This window comes from Homo sapiens, chromosome 1 (genome assembly GCF_000001405.40).
Source record: "Homo sapiens chromosome 1, GRCh38.p14 Primary Assembly".
Classification (NCBI taxonomy): Eukaryota; Metazoa; Chordata; class Mammalia; order Primates; family Hominidae; genus Homo; species Homo sapiens.
The window spans coordinates 24,002,915-24,029,340 of NC_000001.11; the positions used below are offsets into that span (position 1 = coordinate 24,002,915).

The window sequence follows — 26,426 nt, forward strand, 5'->3', positions numbered from 1 at the left end:
CAGGAATGTAGTTTACATAGACTATAAAATGAATGGTGCTCTCTGGATTTGTTCAGTGCACAACTCTAACAGTCATACATGGTAGCTTCCAAGATAATAAATAGTAGCCTCCAAGGTAATAGATAGTAATGGTCTTCAATGAATAATTGGACGTCTTGTAACAAGGAAAGCAGAAAGCAATTAAAGCTGTTTTTGGATTTCATGATTGGAAGTGTCCTTGGAGATGATCTAGTTCAACCCCCTCATATTTCAGATAAGAAAACTAAGATCAGGGGAGGGAAAAGTACAAGGTTCATCCAGGGCAGAACTGGGACAAGAACTATGTCTCTAGGGTCTTTGCTAATTGCCCTTTGTGTTTATGCAGAATTTCATTGTTGGTAGAAATTAGCATTCCAAATCACATCTTAAAACCCCTATAGAGAAAGAAGACTTGCAACGGCTTTGCATCTTCTAGCCTTTGTTGGGAACAAACCCAGGATGGCTAAGCAGGAATGTGTTGAGTTCTGGGTCTTAGCTCTTCAGTGTCCTGCACGTTTTCTCAGGGTGAACAATTCCTGTTGAGCAATGCCCCTTTGAAATCATTTTGTTTGCCTCTGTCTTTGACTTGATGTTAGCTGGCAAGTGGTGTGGTTTGCTAATGACCTCAACCAGGTTGCTAGCTTGGTAGTAATCTGAGAACAGTGTCTCTGGAGACCAGCTGAACTCCTTTGAGGTTTGCTGTGGTGAATTGATGTACTGCTTCAGATTTTAATTCAGAATCAAACAGAGCCTGAGTAGGGACGATGGGAGGCTACAGGAAGCTGATGTTGGGCATTAAGTGTGTTGGGCTTTGAATTAATAGCTAGCTATGCGTTGCCTTTTCCCTGTCCTCCACAGCCAGGTATTTGTCAGTAAATGGATATGTGGGAGGCATTGTGCCACTAGGTGCTGTGGGGAAGCCAGGAAGAATCAAACCCAAGGGGGTTAGTTTGTCCCAGGGGGCTGGTGCCTTTGGGAGAGAGCTGTGTGCAGACATTGAACCTGGGCCATACCTTCAAAAATTGGTAGGTTTGGAGCAGAGGAGATAGAAAAGAAAAAGAGAATGGGGAAAGCATTTTGGGTGGGAGTAATGACAAGCTCAAAAGCTTAGAGGGAGACATATACAAGGTGTGTTTGGGAAATGAAATACAGATCAATCTAATCAGTAGTGAGAAGTTATGAAAGGAAGATCGAGCTTTGTGCAGTGGCGATACCATAGCCAATGAGGTGCGATTGTTGCTAATTGGGAAAAAAAAGGAGGACTTTGGTCTAGCTTGATAGGTCCTTAAACCCCAAATGTGGGAGACTTTATTTATTTATTTAAGATGGGATCTCACTCTGTCGCTGAGACTGGAGTGCAGTGGTGCAATCATAGCTCACTGTAGCCTTGAAACTCTGGGTTCGAGTGATCCTTCTGCTTCAGCCTCCTAAGTAGCTGGAACTACAGGTGTGCGCCACTATGTCCAGCTAATTTAAAAAGAATTTTTTGCAGAGATGGGGTTTCACTTTGTTGCCCAGGCTGGTCTTGAATTCCTGGGCTCAAGTGATCCTTTCACTTTGGCCTCCCAAAATGCTGGGATTATAGGCATGAGCCACTGCGCACCCAGCTGGATTTTGACGGTATATAATCTGAAGATAAATAGGGAGCCCCAAAAGGTTTATGGACGTTATAAGAGGAGGCAGTGTTGGTAACTAACTTCAACTTAATCTTTGAGTTATTGAATATCCAGATGGGATTGTGATTGGGCTAAAAGATGATTTAGCATCACCCAGAGATAAATTCAGAGGTGGATTAAATTAAATTAAATTAATTTATTTCTTTATTTTGAGATTGAATCTCACTCTGTCACCCAGGCTGGAGTGCAGTGGCACCATCTCAGCTCACTGCAACCTCTGCCTGCTGGATTCAAGCGATTCTCCTGCTTCAGCCTCCTGAGTAGCTAGGATTACAAGTGCCCGCCACCACACTTGGCTAATTTTTATTTTTATATTTATTTTTAATAGAGACAGGGTTTCACCATGTTGGCCAGGATGGTCTTGAACTCCTGACCTCAGGTGATTCACCCTCCTTAGGCTCCCAGAGTGTTGGGATTACAGGCATGAGCCACTGCGCCTGACCAGAGGTGGATTTTATGTCTCACATTTTTGAGGAAGAGAATGGGTCTTTGTGGGAGAGATTATTTGCATATTCAAGGAGAAGATCATGAAGTAGTTTTAATTGTTGTATGAATGTTAAATATAGGCTGGGAGCGGTGGCTCATGCCTGTAATCCTGGCACTTTAGGAGGCCAAGGCAGGTAGATCCCTTGAGCTCAGAAATTCAAGACCAGTCTGGGCAACATAGTGAGTGAACTGTAGTCTCAGCTACTCAGGAGGCTGAGGTAGGAGGATCGCCTGAGCCCGAGAAGTCAAGCTTTCAGTGAGCCATGATTGCACCACTGCCATGCACTCTAGCCTGGGCAACAGAGTGAGACTCTATCTGAAAAAATAAAGAAAAAAAAAGTTAAATGTAGGTAGAGTGACAAAACATGCTGGGTAACCAATAACTTGTGCTGTTGCTCTCACCTGCCCTTCTGCACTCTGGTAGACATTTCAGAGAGTGACAAACTGTATTTTCTAGGCTTCCTTGCTAGCTGGCTTCTGTTTATATTCTGACGATGAAAGGCATTGGTGTGATACTGGAGGATGGAAGGAGGAATTGACTCTCTTCCTGCTTTTGGATTCTGGTGGCATCTTTGGCCAGCAGAGGTAATTGATGGTGATGGCACTGGCTCCAGTGAAAATGGTAGTAATGCAGTGGCTCACGCCTGTAATCCCAGCACTTTGGGAGGCTGAGGCGAGTGGATCACCTGAGGTCAGGAGTCTGAGACCAGCCTGGCCAACATGGCAAAACCCTATCTCTACTAAAAATACAAAAATTTGCCAGGCATGGTGGCACATGCCTGTAATCCCAGCTACTAGGGGGGCTGAGGCAGGAGGATTGCTTGAACCTGGGAGGTGGAGGTTGCAGTGAGCCGAGATTGTGCCACTGCACTCGAGCCTGGGCAACAGAGTGAGACTCTGTCTCAAAAAAAAAAAAAAAAAAGAAAGAAAATGGTTGTAATGGATCTGAGAGGTGGCTGCAGGGACAGGAGCAATGACTTGGAAGTACAGATTCTTGGGTTCCTGTTTAAACAACTGGGATCCCACAGCTAACAGGATCCTTAGAGACAGAACCCTCAGAGATCCTGTCTCTGAGTTTTGGGTAAGGTTTTTGTTCCTCTGTCCCAAGGTGGTAATGGTTTCCTGAAGTTACTGATCTTTGAGTAATCTCATCTCCCCTCTTTTGATACTCCTTCCCTTTTAACACTCTTGTAGCCAGTTTCATTATTAATTTATTCTATTTGAAACACCTAGACTGATTTTCTTGATTAGATCCTGATTGATACAGTACCTAGTCATCTTTTTTTCTTTCTTCTTCTTTTTTTTTTTGGAGATGGAGTTTTGTTCTTGTTGCCCAGGCTGGAGTGTAGTGGCACGATCTTGGCTCACTGCAACCTCCGCCTCCTGAGTTCAAGCGATTCTCCTGCCTCAGCTTCCTGAGTAGCTGGGATTACAGGCATGCGCCACCATGCCTGGCTAATTTTGTATTTTTAGTAGAGATGGGGTTTCTCCATGTTGGTCACGCTGGTCTCGAACTTCTGACCTCAGGTGATCTGCCTTCCTCAGCCTCCCAAAGTTCTGGGTTTACAGGCGTGAGCCACCGTGCGTGAGCCACCATGCCCGGCCGTCTTTCTTCACTTGGCTTCTAGGATGCCACACAGGTTTTTCTCCCATTCTACCAGACATTCCTTTTCAGTCTCCCTTGCTGATTCTTCCTCTTAAACCTGACTCTTAACGTTGGGAATGATTTTCACATAAAAATTACTAACGGTGACTTTCTTTCCAGTATCCTGAAGATCCAAATTTATCTGTAATATAGCCCTATCACTCGACATAGGAATTCATCTCATTTCACATGTGAGAAAATGAAGATTTCTTGCCCTAGGGACTATTTCAGAAATATCATCTTGAGAAATTAGTTCACATATTGCTTCTATCTGTGAGGCTGAGGCTTAGTCTCAGACTGTTAAAGCTAAAAAGAGCCAAAGAGATTTGCTCACTGGTAGGACATTCCTTCAGTAAAAATCTACTTCAGTAAAAAATCTACAGTCTAAGCTCTGGTCATCTTCTTTGCAGGTTTAGAAACTACTTTTTTGTTGAGCTTACCCAGAAACACACCAAATTTAATACAAATGCTTATACTTTTCAGATGTTAATAATATAAAATGTAAGCAACCATTCTGAACAATGAATTGTTGATGATGGACATTTGTGGTTTTACAGTAACAAGCATTCTAACAGTATTGATTGTTCTAATCCATGAATATGGTATATCTCTCCATTTATTTAGATCTTCTTTAATTTCTCTTAGTGATATTCTGCCAGAGTGTGTAGGATTGAAGTTTTACACATGTTTTGTCAAATTTAAGGATGTAATTTTTGGGGCTGGGTGTGCTGGCTTATGCCTGTAAACCCAACCCTTTGGAGACTAAGATGGGAGGATCACTTGAGGCCTGGAGTTTGAGACCAGCCTGGGCATCAAAGTGAGACCCATCTCCACACACACAAAAAAAATAGCTGGTGTGGTGGCATGCACCTGTAGTCCCAGCTACTTTGGTGTCTGAAGCAGGAGAATTGCTTGAGCCCAGGCATTCAAGGCTGCAGTGGACTATAATGGCACCATTGCATGCTAGCCTGGGTGACCAGAGCCAGACCCTATCTCAAAAAAAAAAAAATTAATTAATTAATGAAAATAAAAAATAAAAAAGAATATACTTTTTATACGATTTTGTATTCAGCTTTTTTTTTTCTTTTTCTTTTTTCTGTCAAGCTGTTCTTTATTTCAGGAAGAGGGCAGGGCAAGGGGCTCAGTCTTTCTTGGCAGTGGCTTTCTTCATGGCAGCCAGGACATTGCTCAGCTCCTCCCGCTTCCTCTTGGCATGGATATGCATCCTCACCCTTTTCTTTTTTTTTTTTTTTTTTGGAGACGGAGTCTCGCTCTGTTGCCCAGGCTGGAGTGCAGTGGCGCAGTCTCGGCTCACTGCAACCTCTGCCTCCTGGGTTCAAGCAATTCTCCTGCCTCAGCCTCCTCAGTAGCTGGGATTACAGGCATGCGCCACCACACTCAGCTAATTTTTGTATTTTTAGTAGAGACGGGGTTTTGCCATGTTGGCCAGGCTGGTCTCGAACTCCTAACCTCAGGTGATCCAACTGCCTCAGCCTTCCAAAGTGCTGGGATTACAGGCTGAGCCACTTTGCCTGGCCCCCACCCTTTTCTTGATAAACTTGGAGGTCTTCAGTAACTCCATGGCCTTGGAGACCTTCTGTAACTCCATGGTGTGACACTCGTAAGGGGCAAAGCCACACACCTCTCGGATCATGTCCTGCACAAACTTGGTGTGTTTGGTCAGGCACCTGCGGTGGCAGCTGTGCCTGGGATTGCTCACGTTCTTGGTCACCTTGTGGCCCTTGTTGAGGCCCATGGCCATAGGGTAGCGCAGAGCCATGGCTGCTGCTCTCCAAAGGCAGCCGTGGCGGAAGGCAGCTTTTTAAAAATAGTATTATTTCCAAAGCATTTTACCATGTCTTTAAAGGGGTTTATTAACATTGGTAATGGCTGCATTAATTCAGGTGGCAACTTTTAAACCACTGATATTACTGGTTTTACTTAATACTTTTACTTAATGGTGATGGCTGCACTTTGTTTTATAGCATCAGCTTTGCTGTGTTAAACAGAAGGTCTAGTGTTGCACTGAGTCCCTTGGGGAAAGTAGTCTAGAGAAATTGCAGGCTCAGTTCCAAAACCAACATTCCAAATAAAGAGGGTTTTCAGTGAAAATATCAGTTTACCTTGAATATTTTTCCAGTCATGTAAATAATCTTCATTTTCTTCCTAACATTAAATGTATTCATTTGTGATCTCTGAGCTACTTTCATTATAATACAAATTTGCTATATTTCAGGGATTTTCTTTTGGGGAGAGGGGACTATTTTTTTTTTTTTTTTTTTTGAGACGGAGTCTCATTCTGTCACCCAGGCTGAAGTGCAGTGGCACGATCTTGGCTCACTGCAGCCTCTGCCTCCTGGGTTCAAGCAATTCTCCTGCCTCAGCCTCCTGAGTAATTGGAATTACAGGTGCACGCCACCACACCAGGCTAATTTTTTGTATTTTAGTAGATACGGGGTTTCACCGGGTTGCCCAGGCTGGTCTCAAACTCCTGAGCTCAGGCAATCTGCCCGCCTCGGCCTCCCAAAGTGCTGGGATTACAGGCGTGAGCCAGCACACCCGGCGAGAGGGGACTATTGATCTAATCTTGAAATTTGAATGCTCTGTAGTACTCTATATTGCTATATGGCTGTGCTAAATGCCATCACAAATAGAATAAACAGTATATATAATTTGTTCATCTATTTCTTCAACAAGCATTTAGTGAGCCACCTTCTAGTATATGCAGTGGGAATCTGTTATATTCTGGAGTTTCAGAGCTGAATAAACATAGTATCTCTTGTCCAGGAACTTCCAGGCTTACCCCTGTTATGCTATATGATCACATTAGAAATAAATCAATGCAGGCCATTGCTGACATATTCCTGGAGGCCTGACTCATGCCCACTCACTCTTCTACCCTCCCTCTGCTTTGTTCAACTGTTGATAGAGTCCTGGGGACTCAATAGAACTATCACTGGCCAGTTTACCTGGATGAGAGTGTCTTCAAAAGCATTACCAACTTAGGACAAGACTGATTTCTTCCAGAATGCCCTAAATTCCCCCCTGCCCATTAACTGACTGCCGGGACAGATTCCTTGCAAATGTTGTGGCCAGTTGGGCCTGTCCTCCCTCACAATCCTCTAATCTTTGATTTAATGTTCAAAATATTAACATCCCCATAATCTATAATACCCTCTATTACCCTGTGACCTCTTCTTTTATAGCGTCCTCTCCATTCTACTCTGTGTTGCCTCTTCCTGCTGCTTTGCTCCTCCAAAGATTCCCCCTGCACCTGCTGAAGGCTCATCCCATACTAAGCAAACCCTTCTAGAATGTAAGCTCTTCATGGAAACTCTGTCTCTACCTCTACCTCTGTGCCTGATGGAAACCCAGACATCTGAGATTTCCTCTGTAGCTCTCTCAAAAGGATGCCACTCCTTGTCTACTTCTCAAATACCTGGGATCAGGAAGTGGGTAAGGATTCCTCTTTGCTTTTCAGGGCTACTTCTGAACCATTTCTAGTATAAAGCCCCTTGGTCTTTCAACTCTGCTATGACCCAGATATACTCCTGTCTGTTCTTCCCTCTCCCCAATTCCTGGCTATTCCTCTCATTTGTTGAAGGTTTTCAGAAGTGGTATTATTAAGAACATGGGCTTTAGAGTCAGGTATGTCTGGGTTCCTGTGTCAGGTGTGCCACTTACTAGCTGTGCAATCTTCAGCAAATTATAGTATTTAATCTCTGAGCTAATTATAGAACTTAATCTCTGAACTTAACTTTTCTTAGATGTAAAATAAGATAACGGCAATCACCTTGGAGAGTGGTTACTGGCGTTCAACATTCATTCAACTAAAAGTAAGTGGAATAAAATAATTATACATTGATATATGTTCTGTGAAGGGTTTAGGATAGAGAATAAAGGGGGCACTCCACCATGAGGGAGGTTCAAAGGGGAGGTGCCATTTGAGCCGAGACCTGAAGGAAGAGAGGGAGGGTTAAATGAAATAAAGCACACGGAACCACTTGGCACAGCACGGGCCCATAGTGAACTCAGTGTTAGTGAAAATCATTTTCCTGGTAAGGGTGGTGGCAGAGGTGAATGGCTTTCAAAGCTGAAGTAATTGCAAGCTGAGTTGATCCTGGTCCAAGTGAAATAGTGGCATTAGTGCTTGGTGGTGGTAGTGGCAGCAGAAGCAGTAGTTTTTCTATCAGATCAGTTTTTCTCCTCTCCTCTCCTCTCCTCTCCTCTCCTCTCCTCTCCTCTCCTCTCCTCTCCCCTCTTCTCCCCTCTCCTCCTCCCCTCCCCTCCCCTCGTTTCGTTTCATTTCATTTCCTTCCCCTTCCCTTTCCTTTCCTTTCCTTTCCTTTCCTTTCCGAGACAGAGTCTTGCTCTGTTGCTTGGGTTGGAGTGCAGTGGTGCGATCTTGGCTCACTGCAACCTCTGCCTCCTGGGTTGAAGCGATTCTTGTGTCGCAGCCTCCTGAGTAGTTGAGACTACAGGCGTGTGCCACCATGCCCAGCTAATTCTTTTGTATTTTTAGTAGAGACAACTGTTTTCCATGTTGCCCATGCTGGTCTCAAGCTCTTTTTTTTTTTTTTTTTTTTTTTTGAGATGGAGTATAATCTCAGCTCACTGCAACCTCTGCCTCCGGAGTTCAAGCAATTCTCCTGCCTCAGCCTCCCAAGTAGCTGGGATCACACACCACCATGCCCGGCTAATTTTTTGTATTTTCAGTAGACACGGGGTTTCACCATGTTGGCCAAGCTGGTCTTGAACCCCTGATCTCAAGTGATCTGCCTGCCTTAGCCTCCCAAAATGCTGGGATTACAAGCATGAGCCATCACGTCCAGCCGATAATAATTACATTTCAAAGGGTGGCAGCATTAAACCCATCTATCATCTTGAATTGTCTCAAGACAAAGACTTTTAAATTATGTGAGAAGAGGACTGGTAGAATACAGAGGTAAAAGTAAGGTCTTCAGACTTAAAAGCTCTATCTAAATAAGATCTTTTGATGTGGGTCATTCATGAAACTAAAGCAAACAGATGAAGCCTACTAAGATCTTGAAGGTTTGGATTGTCAAAGAGCCTGCCCCATTCAGCCGTGTCATTCAGCACAGCCCGTGACTGTTCGGCCCCAAGGCAGTTGATGGTGCCTGATCTACATGGGCAGGAGAGGTCTGCTAAAGCTCTTCAGCCTCTAGGAATGGCCTTCCCCACAGTGCCCTCCCCAGATGCAGCCATGGGGAATAGCAAGCAAGGAGAATCCTTCCAGAGAACAAAACTAAGGGCTGTAGATTGACCAGCCAAGGAACTCTACTGCAGGGATAGCGAGTCCCCACTACTCCTGCCCTGCAGGACTGTACAAGTGCGATGGACCAGAGACAGCTGAGTGTTTGCCATGTTCTTTTTTTCCCAAAGGGAGTTTTTATTGCACTTATCCTGTTGGGGAGAGATAAATTGTCTTTAAGCTTACAGATCTCTAGTCATGAGAAGCCACATCCTGACCCTAATCCTCTAGAGATCCTGGACTTTGAGCTGGATTTAGTAACTGGATGTAACTTTATTGCTGTATCCCTTGGGGAGGGCCAAATGCATTTCCTTTTTCTTTCTTCTTTCTTTTTTTTTTTTTTTTTGAGACGGAGTCTTGCTCTGTCTCCCAGGATGGAGTGCAGTGGTGCGATCTCAGGTCACTACAACCTCCACCTCCCGGTTCAAGTGATTCTCCTGCCTCAGCCTCCTGAGTAGCTGAGATTACAGGCATGCGGCACCATGCCTGGCTAATTTTTGTATTTTTAGTAGAAACGGGGTTTCACCACGTTGGCCAGGCTGGTCTTGAGCTCCTGACCTCCAGTGATCCACCCACCTCGGCCTTCCAAAGTGCTGGGATTACAGGTGTGAGCCACTGTGCCTGGCCTCCAAATGCATTTTCTTCATGGGAAGACGATGTGTTTGAATGTTGCCAGTCAAAGGGAGGACCATGACAGCAACTGCTTATTTCCTATCTCAAATCTACTCTCTCTCTGTTTCTTTTTTTTTTTTTTTTTTTCTGAGACAGAGTCATGCTCTGTTGCCCAGGTTGGAGTGCAATGGCACGATCTCGGCTCCCTGCAATCTCTGCCTTTATTTCTTTTTAATAGAGAGCCCTGGAGGCCGGGTGCGGTGGCTCACACCTCCCTGAGTAGCTGGGACTACAGGTGTCTGCCACCATGCCTGGCTAATTTTTATATTTTTAGTAGAGATGGGCTTTTGCCATGTTGGCCAGGCTGGTCTTGAACTTCTGACCTCAGGTGATCCGTCCGCCGCAGCCTCCCAAAGTACTGGGATTACAGGCGTGAGTCACTGCGCCCGGCCCTAAAAAGTTATGTTTGCGTCCTAACCCCCAGTATCACACAATGTGATTGTATTTGGAAATAGGATTGTTGCAGACATAATTAGTTAAGGTGAAGTCATTGCTATAGTCTGAATAGTCACCTTCTCACCATGCATATGTTGAGAGCCTGATGGCCAAGGTGATGGTATTAGGAGGTAGGGGGCCTTTGGGAGGTGATTGGATCATGAGGGTGGAGCCCTCAAGAATGGGATTAGTGTCCTCATGAAATAGACCCCTTCCAACATGTGAGGACACAGTGAGAAGGCTCTGTGAGAAATTAGGCTTTCACCAGACACTAAATCTGCTGGCACCTTGATCTTTTTTTTATTTTTTTCTCTTTTGAGACAGGGTCTTGTTCTGTTGCCTAGGCTGGGGTGCAGTGGCGCAATCTTGGCTCACTGCCACCTCTGCCTCCCCGGTTCAAGTGAATCTCCTGCCTCAGCCACCCGAGTAGCTGGGACTGTAGGTGTGCATCACCACACCCGGCTAATTTTTGTATTTTTAGTACAGACACTCTCACCATGTTGGCCAGGCTGGTCTCAAACTCCTGACCTCAAGTGATCTGCCCACCTTGGCCTCCCAAAGTACTGGGATTACAGGTGTGAGCCACCATGCCCAGCCCTGCCACCTTGACCTTGAACTTCTCAGACTCCAGAACTGTGAGAAAAAATTTCTGTTGTTTATAAGCCACCCAGTCTGTGGCATTTTGTTACGGTAGCCCCAATAATCTAAGACAGTAATAATGGAGTAGGGTGGGTCATTAATCCAATGATTGTTGTCCTTATCAAAAGACAACTTGAAGACACAGACAGAGAATGCCCCATGTGATGACCCAGGCAGAAAGTGGCATGAGATGGCTAAGAAGAGGGGAGGAAGGATTCCACCTGGAGTCTCGAGGGGGCGGAGGCCCTCTGACACTTTGATTTTGGCTGTCTAGCCTCTAGAACTGTGAGAGAATACATTTCTGCTGTTTTCAGCCCCCTAGTGTGTGGCACTTTGTTCCTGAAGCCCTAGTGCATCCTCTCCTCCATCCACTCTCCACCCCAGGTCACCAGGCTCTGATTTTGCCGCAAGAGCCTCTAAACTGGTCTCTGAGCTTCCAGTGGAGTTTCCTTTCCATTTATGCTCCATACAACAGCCTGGATGAGTTTTCTAAAGCTCAAATTACTCACCTGTTCACACACCTTTCAGTGGCTTCCCAGGACGCTAGATATAACTTCTGAATTCCCTTACCTGATACAAAAGGCCCTATGTGCCTTCCCAGCATCAACTTGTACCAGACTTTTTTTGTTGCTCTCAATGATTGCAACTCCCCCATTGCTCCTACTGTCTGACCGCTGGGCTTTTTTTTTTTTTTTAATGAGATGGAGCCTGGCTCTGTCGCCTAGGCTGGAGTGCAGTGGCGTGATCTCGGCTCACTGCAACCTCTGACTTCAGGGTTCAAGAGATTCTCCTGCCTCAGCTTCCCGAGTAGCTAGGACCACAGGTGCCCGCCACCACACTCAGCTAATTTTTGTATTTTTATTAGAGACGGGGTTTCACCATGTTGGCCAGGCTGGTCTCGAATTTCTGGACTCAAGTGATCTGCCCGCCTCGGCCTCCCAAAGTGCTGGGAATACAGGCATGAGCCATCACACCTGGCTGGACCTCTGGGCTTTGATTCCCATTCGATGTCCCTTCTCCCAAGAAGCCTCCTCCTAACAGTTAGTGCCCCTGCTATATGCTCTCTTCAAGCCCAGTTCTTACCCCATCAGAACACAGACTCCATTTATTATGATGCACACTTGCCTGTCTGTCTGCCTCCTGAATCTGTAAATTCCTCAAGGGCAGGGCAGTGTTTTCTTTAGCACTGAAACATTAGTGACCAACAGTGACTGTCCCATTTCAGGTGGTCAATTCATTGGATTTAGGGGAACAGACGGCTGACTCCTCTTACTATCTTTTTCTCCATGAGTTTCATATTTTGAAAGATTTTAGGCATTAAACACAGTTTATTAATTAAGTTAACCTTTGTGGACTTACGAGAGGATTAATGCATGGTTTTCTTTTTTCTTTTTAAAATATCGAAAACAGCTTGAAGAACCTCCAACCTGTTTTCTTTTTTGGGAAATAACTTATCACCCGGTGATCCTAGGTTTTGAATGTAGCCAATTCCCCTAGGTAAAGAAACTGAGGCCGAGAGAGGTGAAATGACTTGTCTAAGGTTTACAGTGTGTTAATAATGACACCAGGCTAAAACTCAAGTTTCCTGACTTCAAATCCAGGATTCTTTCTGCTGTTTTATAATAGACAGGGCTTCAGGAGACCTGGTATAGCCAGTTATGTGCTGGTAAATGTTTAACAACTGGCTCCATAGGAGGGAAAAAAAAGATCTTGATTTATAGCATTTGTCGATTTCTGTGGTGTAAATAACTCTACCTTGTCTAATTTCAAGCTACCTGAAGTAACTCAACATAAGGGTTGATTCAAGCAGACTCCAGCACACTGCTTAGATATAGCCCTTGATTTTAGACTTTGCAGGTTTCTGTTCTGGAGAAACTTCCATACCCTCTTTCTTTTTTTTTTTTAATTTTTAAAATTAAATTTTATTTATATTAATTTTATTTTTATTAAATAAAATTTATATTTTATTATATATAATTTATATGCTATTTTATTTATATTATATTAATTTTATTTATATTAAATTTATAAGGCATTATTCCTTAATCTTTTTATATGTTCTAGAAGAGTTTAAGCTACCTTAAATTCATATATCCTCTTTCTTAAAAATTTGTAGTGCTTGGAGACTCCCATCCCCCAGATACTGGCTGTTGCCAGAACATGCGAAACTCTTGCAGTCAGATGATGCAAAAGGCTATAAATAAAAATAAAGGATCCCAAAGGAATGACCTGCTGAAAATATGACAAGATGGAAAACTCATATAAGTAGAGAGTGCTGTTCATGGTCATGTGTTAGAACCAAAAGCCAGCGATGAACTCTGGAAAGATGAGTTAATGGAATACGAGTCCCTAAAGCATTTAGGCTGGGAGGAAGTGCCACCTCCTCTCCGTAGCTTTTCTGATTTATCTCAGGAAGAAATAATTCCTCCTTCCTTAGTAGATCCCAAATACTTACACCTCAGTTGCTTTTTTTATTTTTAGAATTGCATTGCATCTAGAATGTATTTTACAGAATACATCCAAACTCCTTAGTTTGGCAGAGAGGCCTTTTATTAAATGAATTTTCAAAGAGGTGGGTGGGACAACAGGAAGAACACAAGCTTCGGAGCTTGATTGATTCTGGGTTCAACTCCTGCTGCACTGCTTACTGCTGTGATACTTCAGGCCAGTTTCCTAACCTAGGCCTCGGTTCTTCATTCCTTTTTTCTTTTTTTTTTTTGAGACAGAGTCTTGCTCTGTTGCCCAGGCTGGAGTGCAGTGGCACAATCTTGGCTTACTGCAACCTCTGTCTCCCAGGTTCAAGCAATTCTCCTGCCTCAGCCTCCCAAGTAGCTGGGATTACAGGCGCCTGCCACCACGCCTGGCTAATTTTTTTGTATTTTTACTAGAGATGGGGTTTCACCATGTTGGCCGGGCTGGTTTTGAACTCCTGACCTCAAGTAATCCACCCGCTTCGGCCTCCCAAAGTGCTAGGATTACAGGTGTGAGCTACCGCACCTGTCCAGTTTCTTCATTCTTAAATACCTTCCTTATAAGGTTGACACAGACGGAAATGACAGAAGACATGTCAGGTGCCTAATACACCACCTGTTATGTGTTAAGGATGCAAGAAATGATCTGTTCTTTCTGTTTACTGGTGAAACATTTCCTGCTTGTTCAAATCTTTATATTTTTGGAGATGTGCTTTCCTATTAATGAGTTAGTTTATTTACACAGACTCCTAACAAATATTTAGAGCAAAATTCTCTGTGGACTGAATCTCTGATTCTGCTGTCTTTAATGTCTAGTGGTTTTATTTGTTTGTTTTTTTGAGACAGGGTCTTGCTCTGTCGCCCAGGCTGGAGTGCAATGGTGCCATCGTGGCTCACCGCAACCTCTGCCTCCTGGGTTCAAGTGATTCTCCTGCCTCAGCCTTCCGGGGAGCTGGGATTTCAGGTGCCCACCACCATGCCTGGCTAATTTTTGTATTTTTAGTAGAAATGGGGTTTCATCATGTTGGCCAGGCTGGTCTCGAACTCCTGACCTCAAGTGATCCGCCTGCCTCAGCCTCCCAAAGTGCTGGGATTACAGGTGTGAGCCACCGCACCTAGCTTAATGTCTAGTGGTTTTGCAGGACGAGGACACAGATAAATTCTTGGGCTCAGGGGTCAGGTATACCCCTTCCCAGGCAGAAAGTAAGATACCATGAAAATTGTTCTTAAATGTGATCTAAGTACTACAGGAAGGTGATGAGGGGACCTCACCAAATGCAGGATGTAACCAGAAGTGACACTGGTACCCCTGCTAAGGACTGGGCACTAATGCCATAGCATCTCCTTCAACCCTCACATTAACCCTATGGTGGTAGAATGACTCCTATTTTGCTAATGACAAAACTACATGCATTTACTCAACAATCTTCCTTGTGCACCTACTACATGCCAGGTATTTTCTAGGTGCTGGAGGTAGAGCATGGGCAAAAGGGACAAAAATCCCTGTCCCTGTGGAAGTGACATTAACAAGGTAATAAATAAGTTAAGGAAGTAAAATATAGAGCATGTCAGGTGGTGCTAAGAGCATGGAGAAAAATAAAGAAGAGTAGGAGCGTGGGGGATGCGTGAGGCTGCAATTTGATTTCTTTCTGGTTTTTTTTTTTTTTTTTTTTTTTTTTTTTGAGACAGAGTCTTGCTCTGTCACCCAGGCTGGAGTGCAGTGGCATGATCTCGGCTCACTGCAACCTTAGCCTCCCAGGTTCAAGCAATTCTCCTGCTCAGCTTCCCAAGTAGCTAGGATTACAGGCATGCACCACCATGCTCGGCTAACTTTTGTACTTTTAGTAGAGACGGGGTTTCACCATGTTGGTCAGGCTGGTCTTGAACTCCTGACCTCAAGCAATCCACCCGCCTTGGCCTCCTAAAGTGCTGGGATTACAGGCGTGAGCCACTGTGCCCAGCCTGCAATTTGATTTAAAGTGACTAGGGCGGCTGGGCAAGGTGGCTCATGCCTGTAATCCCAGCACTTTGGGAGGCCAAGGCAGGTGGATCATCTGAGGTCAGGAGTTCAAAATCAGCCTGGCCAACATGGTGAAACTCCACCTCTACTAAAAATACAAAATTAGCTGGGCATGGTGGCACATGCCTGTAATCCTAGCTACTTGGGAGGCTGAGGCAGGAGAATCGCTTGAACCTTGGAGGTGGAGGTTGCAGTGAGCCGAGATCGTGCCATTGCACTCCAGCCTGGGCGACAGAGCGAGACTCCATCTCAAGAAAAATAAATAAATAAATAAATAGAATAAATACATAAATAATTAAAGTAACCAGGAAATGTCTCATGGAGATGACCTTGGAACAAAGACATGGAGAAGGCAAGGGAGGTGGCCACGAGGATAACTTGTTCAGAAACTGACCTGGGGTTCCCAGGAATTGACAGGGCGGGTACTGGAATCTCTGTCTGGCTCTAAGGCCAGTGCTCTCCTTTCAACAAGGCTCTTTTTCAAGAAGCAGTGTCGCTGTCGTCCAAGCAGGCTGTGTGCGTGTGATGCTGTGTGCGCGCACATATGTGCTATTTAGGAATGTGTTATATTTCCATGGGTAGACCCTGTGGGGACCCAAGCTTCCCTACTGACATCTTCCAGAGGCTGAGGCCTCACATTGTTGGTTTTCATGGAAACTTGGCAACTTTCTAGTTATCCCGCCCTGAGCCCTGCACCACATTCCAATGGTTTTATTTGTGTGCCTTGGAGCTGTGCCAGGGCTGGGCCTGGGACAGGTTGCCATGGCGACCTCCCCACTCTTTCCAGATAAGAATTTCTCAAGGATGTTGACGTTGGGCCTGAAATAGTTCTACCCTGCTCTCAGCCCGTAGGAGGATGAACTTTGGCATGGAGAACTGAGTTAGGAAACCTACTCATTCCCTCAGTCTTTCAATTTGTGTACACTGAATCCTGGGTAAGAAAGACTTCTCGGGAGGGTACTCCAGGGCCCCCCAGCTTTAGGATTGAGGATGGCTTTGCTTAGGTACTAGAAGAGCTTCTTTCAGTTTTTCCATTCCAGTTGTTATATTCAGTGCTTGCCTTTGAGAGCCCTGCTAACATAAGATATTTTTTTTTCTTTTTTTTTCGAGATGGAGTCTCGCTCTTGTCATCCAGGCCGGAGTTCAGTGGTGCGATCTCAGCTCACTGCAACCTCTGCCTCCGAGGTTCAAGTGATTCTCCTTCCTCAGCCTCCCGAGTAGTTGGGATTACAGGTGCCCGCCACCATGCCCAGCTCATTTTTGTATTTTTTTAGTAGAGATGGGGTTTCACCATGAGAGCCAGGCTGGTCTCGAACTCCTGACCTCAAGTGATCTGCCCGCCTCAGCACCCCAAAGTGCTGGGATTATAGGTGTGAGCCACTGTGTCCAGCTTTTTTTTTTTTTTTTGAGATGAAGTCTTGTTGTGTGGCCCAGGCTGGAGTGCAGTGGTACAATCTTGGCTCGCTGCAACCTCTGCCTCCTGGGTTCAAGCAGTTCTTGTGTCTCAGCCTCCCTTGTGGCTGGGATGATAGGCATGTGCCACCACGCCCAGCTAATTTTTGTATTTTTAATAGAGACGGGGTTTCACCATGTTGCCGAGGCTGGTCTTGAACTCCTGGACTCAAACAATCCTCCTGCCTTGGCTTCCCAAAGTGTTGGGATTACAGGTGTGAGCCACTGCACCTGTCCTGAAAGAACAACTGTCACTGGGAATTTGCTTTCAGAAAGAAAAAATGTCAGTGTTCATGCCTTTAACTCAAAATAATTCTTAAGCCAAAATAGCATATTTTGGGGTGGCGTATTCTTCCGCCCTTCACTTTTTTTCCCAGTAAATATTATTTTGAGTGAATAAAGTGACTCATCCAAAAATTCTTTTTTTTTTTTGATGACTTGTCCAAATTCACTGCATCAGTTATCTATTTCTGTATAACAAAACACTCTTGGATTTAGTGGCTTATGACAACACTGTCTTATTTGTTTATGATTCTGTGGGTCAGCTATTTGAGGTGGGATGGATGGTTCTTCTCCTGGTCTTGGCCGAGACCACTTGCAACTGCAGTCGGCTGGGGGTTTGGCTGGGAGCTGGTTGATCTGGGGCCTCAGCCAGGGTATGTTTTTGCTCCTTGTGGTCTTACGTCCAACAGGCTAGTGTCCTGGGCTTCTTTCTGAGAAAGTGAGGCTGAGGGCCTCTTCAGGGGCAGATCCTGAAGCAGTTCTAGGGGTCTTCTCTAAAGAAAATAAAAGCCATTAATATGAAATTAGGTCCAGAGCCTTGGAAGAGGCCGGTGCAAGTAAAGGGCCCAAAGCTTGAGCTGCAGGAGCCTCCCAGAACATCCGCCTTTGGTCTTCTCTGCTCTTGGATCCTCAGTGAGACTTGATGGGGTCTGACATCATTCTTACCCTTGAGAATGGGCCAGGGAACTAGCATGACATGGAACAGGGCCTCTTCTCAGTGACACACCTAAGAACCCTCTCCCTCCTCCCCAACTTGCCCCTCTCCTCTCAATCTTGAAGCTGCTATTGCTGTACTTCATCACGCTGAATTTATTGAGACACAAACTTTTATCAGGCTTTAGATTTTATTTTATTTTATTTTTTTTGAGATGGATCCTCACTCTGTCACCCAGGCTGGAGTCCATCTTGGCTTACTGCAACCTCCACCTCCCGGGTTCAAGCAATTCTCCCACCTCAGCCTCCCGAGTAGCTGGAATTTCAGGCGAGTGACACCACATCTGGTTAATTTTTGTATTTTTAGTAGAGATGGGGTTTCACAATGTTGGCCAGGATGGTCTGGAATTCCTGACCTCAGGTGATCCGCTCGCCTCGGCCTCCCAAAGTGCTGGGATTACAGGCATGAGCCACTGGACCCCGCCAGATTTTATTTTATTTTATGAGTCAGGATCTCAATGTGTCGCCGTTGGAGTGCAGTGGCGCGATCATGGCTCATGCAGCCTCAAACTCTCCATCTCAAGTGATCCTCCAACTTCAGCCTCCTAAATAGCTAGGACTGTAGGTACTCCACAAATGCCTGGTGAATTTTTGTTTACTTTTTGTAGAAACAGAGTCTCACTATATTGCCCGGGCTGGTCTCAAAACTCCTGGATTTAAGTGATCCTCTCCTTGGCTTCCCAAAGCTCTGGGATTACAGATGTGAGCCACTGCCCCTGGCCTAGGCTTTAGATTTAAAAATTCAACTCCTGCCCCTATTTCCCCCCACAAATATGCTCTCTGGCATAAATTTCAAAGGTCTATTTGAAACTCAAAAGCTAAGAATGGACTCTTTGTTCTGCTGTATCCCCCATCACTTCCTGAGGGAATGAGCTTCAAATGTCCTACCTGCTTCCCAAATGGGCGGAAAGATTCAGGAACAAAGCCCACATTAGATAACAGTATAAAATAGCTTCCGGCTGCATGGTTAGAACTGTTTATTTACACAGGTTTAGGAGCACCAGGTGAAAAATGTGAGCTTTGCCCTCACTTGGGGTTCAAATTTACCTGGGCATGTTTGGTGGGGGATGGAACCACACCGTAGGTGCAATTGTGTTCCAGAGAGAGAGGCGACAATGGAGAAGAAGGAATACACCATGCTAGGCTCAGACGTGGGGCCTTGGGTGGGATGTAGGCAGTGGCTCTTTGCACGGGGTGTGGCTATAACTGGGACCTCCAGGTGGTGGCTCATGGTTGCACTGGGGAAGTAAACTAATCTAGGCATAAAAGTTGATGAAGCTGTAGCACCAGGAGTCCAAGCTGTGAAGGAAGTTGAGTCCTTCCTCCGCCAGCAGCAGACTGTGAGCTGCAGAGTCAAATATGTAAGTAGCAATTATTGGTGAGGCTGTTGGCAGCTCATGGACAAGAACAGAGGTTGTTGGCAGGCAGGCAAATAGCAAGGGCAAGGTCAGTGGCCCTGGTTGGGTTCTGGGTCTGGTGTGATGGTAGTGAGAACTGCAAGAACTCTTTTCACCTAATGACTCCAAACTCCTGTGCTAAGAGATTTGACCAGCCCTAGCATGGCTTCTAGCAGCCTAAGGTGGCATCTCTGGGACCATCCAGCCCCCTTTTAAGTTCCTGTCTGTAAAATCTCCGGGCTGTCAAAAGAATTAACTGTTTGTTGCAGCCAGCACCTAACATAGACCCCTGACCTCCCTTTTGCAAAGCATTCATGCAAAGGGCTTCCTATTGAGACTCCTTCCTCTGCCCCTTTGAGATGTGTGTCTATCTCCTACAACTTACCTTTCTCAAAGACCTGAAAGCCATTCCTTTGAAATGTGATTATCAGGAGGGCCTCTGTCTCCCAGTCTCTGTGGGAGGACAGAATCCCGACCTTGTTGATCACCAGCTAGCAGACACAGCTGGCCGACTGCATTTTCACTTGATCATTTTTCCCTTTAGTCCCTGCTTGCCTCCACCCACTCCCACTCCCACTCCCACTCCCATTCTCCCTTTAAAATGCTGTCACCTCTGGGTAAACCAGAAGAGAGCTCAGCTCCTTTCCCTACTGCCCCTCATTACTGCATATAATCTGTTTTCACTGCTTTAACTAGTGTCTGGCTTGTTTTTCTTTGACAGTTGCTCAGGGGTTAGAAATGGCCCTCCTGGGCAACTCAAAGCTGCAGCATGCATGAGGGGTGAATCAGAGGAGAACTGGTATCCAATCAGGTGATGGTGACAGGGTGGAGCGGTGACCTATGAGCAGGAGTGGTCTGGCCAGCATTGAGGATATATTAGGGACCACAACTGGGGCACATGGTGGTTTTTGTCCAAGAGAGACAGCCAAGTGTACAGCCTGAAGCAAATTGATGTGGGCAGAGAGCATGGGAGTCACCTCCCCGAGTAGTCCTGCAGACATACAAGGGGGGCAGGAGACCCAGAAAGGAGGCATCCTGCTCATTTGGCATCCTGCTCTTTTTTTTTTCTTTTTTTGAGATAGAGTTTCACCTTGTAGCCCAGGCTGGAGTGCAATGGTGTGATCTCAGCTCACTGCAACCTCAGCCTCCTGGGTTCAAGTGATTCTCCTGCCTCAGCCTCCCAAGTAGCTGGGCTCATAGACATGCGCCACCACACCTGCTTAATTTTGTGTTTTTAGTAGTGATGGGGTTTCACCATGTTGGTCAGGCTGGTCTTGAATTCCTGACCTCAGGTGATCTGCCCGCCTCGGCCTCCCAAAGTGCTGGGATTACAGGCATGAGCCACCACGCCTGGCCTCATCCTGCCCTTTTACATGTCAGCTGTTGAGTCCACAGTCTTTCTGTCAATCAGAACTTATTTGTGTACATAAACCACAGATAAAACTCTCTGTGTACTATCGTGGCAATGCTTGGAGATCCCTGTTCACCCAAGAATCTCTTTATTGGGACCATTTATCACAGTCATTATCATTGACCACGTGAATGAGATAATTATTTTGTCTTCTTCCTGCAGGATGGAAAGTTTCCTTTTGAGAGGAGAAAAAAATGGTGAAAAGAAAATTCTAGCAAATAAAAAATGATTTGCAAGGCTTCTCCTGTACTTGCTAAGTAAGTAAGGGGGCTCTTTGGATGACCTCAGACTTTTGGGAAATTGAGAAAGCATATTCCACAGCAGCAGTCCCATGTGGGGGTAGGAGTGGGGTGGCAGAGGGGCAGGGAAGAGAGCTAGAAATGGGGCACGAGGCTGAGGACCCAGGACAGAAAAACTCTGCACCTGCCCCTTTAGTGACCAAGAGTGAATTTCAAACCTAGATTTTGAGTGACAGTAAATTTATATAAATATTTTGAGGCCGGGCACGGAGGCTCACGCCTGTAATCCCAGCACTTTGGGAGGCCGAGGTGGGTGGATCATGAGGTCAGGAGATGGAGACCATCCTGGCTAACACGGTGAAACCCCGTCTCTACTAAAAAATAGAAAAAATTAGCTGGGTGTGTTGGTGGGCACCTGTAGTCCCAGCTACTTGGGAGGCTGAGGCAGGAGAATGGTGTGAACCTGGGAGGCAGAGCTTGCAGTGAGCCAAGATCATGCCACTGCACTCCAGCCTGGGCGACAGAGCGAGACTCTGTCTCAAAAAAAAAAATTTGAAACAAGGTCTTTGCTTTGTTGCCCAGGCTGAAGTGCAGTGGCATGATCACAACTCACTGTAGCTTTGACCTCCTGCGCTCATGCAATACACCTACTTCAGCCTCCCAAGTAGCTGGGACTGCAGGCTCCCCCCACCATACTCGCTTAATTAAAAAAAAAAATTTTGTTGAGATAGGGTCTTGCTATGTTGCCCAGGCTGGTCTGAAACTTGTAGACTCAAGTGACCCTCCTACCTCGGCCTCCCAAAGTGCTGAGATTATAGGCGTCAGCCACTGTGTCTGGACAACAGTCAATTTTTATATGTGGACTTAAAGTTTGCTATATTATTTGAAGTCAATTATGTTTCCTTCTATAACTTTGGGTTGAGGTCAAGCATTGTTGCTCCAGATTTTTTTCCAGATAAGTGGAGTGGGGTACATGCTAAAAGAATTGGGGTTCCCCAGAAGCAAATGGTACTTACCTGACACAAAGGCTTTAGCTAGATCTGTTTAGCCACCTCCAACCTTTCTTTGAAAGTAAACTTTTTTATTTTTAGATTTCTTCTTTTTACAGACACCAGTGTTACTTGCCATTTTTTAAAAAGTTAAATTTTTTTTTTTTTTTTTTAGCACAGATGAGGTCTTACTACATTGCCCAGGCTAGTCTTGAACTAATAGGCTCAAGTGATCCACCTGCCTTGGCCTCCCATATTTTTAGATTTTAAAATACTTTTAGGATTTAGGCTGGGCGTGGTAGCTCACACCTATAATTCCAGCACTTTGGGAGGCCGAGGAGGGCAGATCACCTGACGTCAGGAGTTCAAGACCAGCCTGGCCAACGTGGTGAAACCCCGTCTCTACTAAAAATATAAAAATTAGCCGGTCATGGTGGTGGGCACCTGTAATCCCAGCTACTTGGGAGGCTGAGGCAGGAGAATCACTTGAACCCGGGAGGCGGAGGTTGCAGTGAGCCGAGATCACGCCACTGTACTCCAGCCTGGGCACTAGAGTGAGACCCTGTTTAAAAAAAAAAAAAAAAAGATTGAGTGAAAGAAGCAAGATACAAGAGAGCAATACTGAGTGATTCCTTTCATATGAAGTGTGAGAACAGGTAGAAACTAATTTGTGGTTGTGAAAATTAGAACAATGGTTGCCTCTGAAGGGGATTGACTGGTGTGTGGCATGGAGGAAACGTTTGGGTTGATTAAAATGGCCTAAATCTTGTTGAGGATATTGGTTTCACTGTTGCATATGTTTGTCAAAACTCATCAAACTGTACACTCAAGTCCTGTGCATTTTTCTGTATGTAAATTATACTTCAACCTTAATTTTAAAAGAAGCAGTGAGCCCCCAAATTTTAGATGATGAACTGGTTTGGATTGCTACCTCCTTTCCTGAAAGTCAACCGGGGAGAAACTGTGGAAGCCAGAGGGAAGCAGATTCCAGAACCAACAGAAAATCAAAATGAGGCCATCCTTCTTCTGTTTGCCTCTACTTCCTCTCTGATTGAAGCTGTCTTTTCTTTCTTCCTTTTTCTTTTTAGAGACAGAATCTTACTCTGTTGCTCAGGCTACAGTGCAGTGGCACAGACACGGTTCACGGCAGCCTCAACCTCCTGGGCTTCAGCAATCCTTTTTGCCTCAACCTCCTGAGTAGCTGGGATTACAGGTGTGCACCACCATGCCTGGCTATTTTTTTTTTTTTTTTTTTTGGAGACAGAGTCTCGCTGTCACCCAGGATGGAGTGAAGTGGCGCGATCTAGGCTCACTTCCATCTCCCGGGTTCAAGCGATTCTCACACCTCAGCCTCCTGAGTAGCTGGGACTACAGGCTTGTGCCACCATGTCTGGCTACATTTTTGTATTTTTAGTAGAGACAGGGTTTCACCATATTGTCCAGGCTGGTCTTGAACTCCTGAGCTCTGGCAATCTGCCCACCTCGGCCTCCCAAAGTGCTAGGATTACAGGCGTGAGCCACCGCGCTATTAAAAAAAAAACCATTTTTAAAATTTTTTTATTTGTAAAGACAAGATCTCTCTATGTTGCCCAGGCTAGTCTCGAACTCCTGGGCTCAAGTGATCCTCCCGCCTTGACCTCCCAAAGTGCTGGGACTATATAGGTGTGAGTCAATTCACTCAGCCAGATTGAGGCTGTCTTAAACCTGTGTCTGGGAGGTAGGTAGTTGTGCCTGGGGTAGAGGGCTGTGGTGGGGATGGTGGACGGTCTGGAAGAAAGTGTTTCTGTTTTTTTGTTTTTGTTTTTGTTTTTGTTTTGAGATGGAGTCTTGTTCTGTTGCCCAGGCTGGAGTGCAGTGGAGTGATCTCGGCTCACTGCAACCTTCGCATCCCAGGTTCAAGCTATTCTCTTGCCTCAGCCTGCTGAGTAGCTGAGATTACAGGCGCCCGCCACTATGCCTGGCTAATTTTTTTCTGTTTTTAGTAGAGATGGGGTTTCACCATGTTGGCCAGGCTGGTCTCGAACACCTGACCTTGTGATTCGCCTGCCTCAGCCTCCCAAAGTGCTGGGATTACAGGCGTGAGCCACCGCGCCCAGCTAGTTTTTAAAAATGTATTGACATATTTAGATTTTTTGGATATATTTGGAAAACTGCCTGTTTGACCAGGACCTGTTTGGTTTGGTTTGGTTCTGCCTTGCCTTTTGCTGGAGTTCTTTTAGGACAAACCTTCACTTTCTTCAGGATTAAGTATTTGTGGGGTGACTGACACTGGCAATACAAAAGCTCTGCAAGGGTGAAGCAAGCAGGAACATCTGTCACTCTTCCTTCTTCTCCAACCCCCAGGCTGTGGGATCAATGTAGCAAGACTACTTGATCTCAGGGTCTCTTCTTTCTAAGAGGTTGAGGTGGAACCTTAGGCAGTGGAGCTGCTCGGAGGAGTGGCAGGCAAAGGGAAGCAGCCACAGTTCCTGGGGTGACCTGGGGTGAAGGGGGGCTTTTGGTTCTGGGGCTCATATCCCTCTGTCTCCTTGAATTCATGAGGGCTGATCTAAATTCAGGCCTAAACTTTGACTCTTCCTCACTACTTATTTCCAGACAAATAAGCTGATAGAGGTCCAATTTGATTCTGATTATTTAGCCATAAACTGATTTTTTTTTCCATTTTATCATTCTGTTTTCCTTCTTCTTTTCCTGTGCTACATGCTTTATCTTTTTGTCCATTTATTTATTTATTTATTAGAGATGGAGTCTTGCTCTGTCACCCAGGCTGGAGGGCAGTGGTGCTATCTCGGTTCGCTGCAACCTCCGCCTCCCTGGTTCAAGCAATTCCCCTGCCTCAGCCTCTCGAGTAGCTGGGATTACAGTCGCATGCCAACAGGTCTGGTTAATTTTTTTTGCATTTTTAGTAGAGATGGGGTTTCACCATGTTGGCCAGACTAGTCTCAAACTCTTGACTTCAGGCAGTCCCCCTGCCTCGGCCTCCCAAAGTACTGGGATTACAGGCGTGAGTTACGGTGCCCGGCCTTTTTTTGTCCTTTAAAACTGTTCCTGGCCGGGTACAGTAGCTCATGCCTATAATCCCAGTGCTTTGCGAAGCTGAAGCCAGAGGATCATTTGAGGCCAGGAGTTCAAGACCAGCTTGGGCAACACAGTGAGACTCTGTCTCTACAAAATTAATAATAAAATTAGCCGGGTGTGATGGTACCCGCTTATAGCTTCTTCAGGAGGCTGAGGTGGGAGGATTGCTTGAGCCTAGGAGTTCAAGGGTGCAGTGAGCCATGATTGTGCCACTGCACTCCAGGCTGGGTGACAGAGTGAGATCTCCATCTGTTCCCACTGTGGCAATCTCCTCCACAAAGTAAATATTATTTCTATGTTTGTTTCTTATACAATTGTTTGCATGTTCAGAATTCTCCCTGGCTTTATTCTTCTTTGGCTACTATGGGGTTGATAATATGTGAAACATTACTTGGACACAAGAACAGCAACATTGTTGAATTGTATGTAGTTCACAAAGACCATTCATTATAGCTAATGCCATCTGTTGGTGGAGGGAAGAGTTGACATTCTTTTTTTCTGTGACTGTAGACATTGAAATGTAAGGGGAGAAGCTTGTCTATACATGTTATTCAGAGGCTTTAAAAATAATTCGCTGTATATAGTAGATACTTTTCCTTGTAAATATATAAATAGATCTATTTTATTTATTTATTTTTTGAGATGGAGTCTCGCTCTGTCACCCAGGCTGGAGTGCAATGGCTCGATCTCAGCTCACTGTAACCTCCGCCTCCCAGGTTCAAGTGATTCTCCCTGCCTCAGCCTCCAGAATAGCTGGGATTACAGGTGTGCGCCACCACACTTGGCTAATTTTCGTACTTTTAGTAGAGACGGGGTTTTGCCATGTTGGCCAGGCTGGTCTTGAATTCCTGACCTCAGGTGATCCCCCTGCCTTGGCCTCCCAAAGTGCTGGGATTACAGGCATGAGCCACCGCTCATGGCCTAGATCTATTTTATTTTAAAATATCTTTGTACTGTTCCATAGTATGGGTGTACCATAATTTATTCAACCATTCCCCAATTGATGGGCATTTAGGTGGTTCCTATATTTTATTTTTTTGAAATGGAGTTTTGCTCTTGTTGCCCAGGCTGGAGTGCAATGGAGTGATCTCAGCTCACTGCAACCTCTGCCTCCTGAGTTCAAGCGATTCTCCTGCATCAGCCTCCCGAGTATCTGGGATTACAGGTATGCGCCACCAGTCCCGGCTACTTTTTGTATTTTTAGTATAGATGGGGTTTCACCATGTTGGTCAGGCTGGTCTCGAACTCTTGACCTCAGGTGATCCACCTGCCTCAGCCTCCCAAAGTGCTGGGATTACAGATGTGAGCCACCACGCCTGGCCTTATTTTTTATTTATTTTTTTGAGACAGAGTTTTGCTCTCGTTGCCCAGGCTGGCATGCAGAGGCATGATCTTGGCTCACTGCAACCTCTGCCTTCTGGTTTCAAGCGATTCTCCTGCCTCAGCCTCCCGAGTAGTTGGGATTATAGGCGCCTGCCACCACGCCCAGCTAATTTTTGTATTTTCAGTAGAGGTGGGGTTTCCCCATGT

General features: G+C 45.4%; 1 long non-coding RNA gene and 1 pseudogene across 1 annotated transcript; one reads left to right on the plus strand and one right to left on the minus strand.

Moving 5' to 3' along the window:
• Positions 4,920-5,640, minus strand: RPL36P5 (ribosomal protein L36 pseudogene 5; annotated as a pseudogene).
• LOC105376863 (uncharacterized) lies at positions 7,603-26,061 on the plus strand. The gene is made up of 3 exons (XR_947072.3): positions 7,603-7,661; positions 20,753-20,847; positions 25,964-26,061. It is a non-coding gene; the product is annotated as an uncharacterized LOC105376863 (long non-coding RNA).
• Positions 26,062-26,426: the final 365 nt, after the last annotated feature.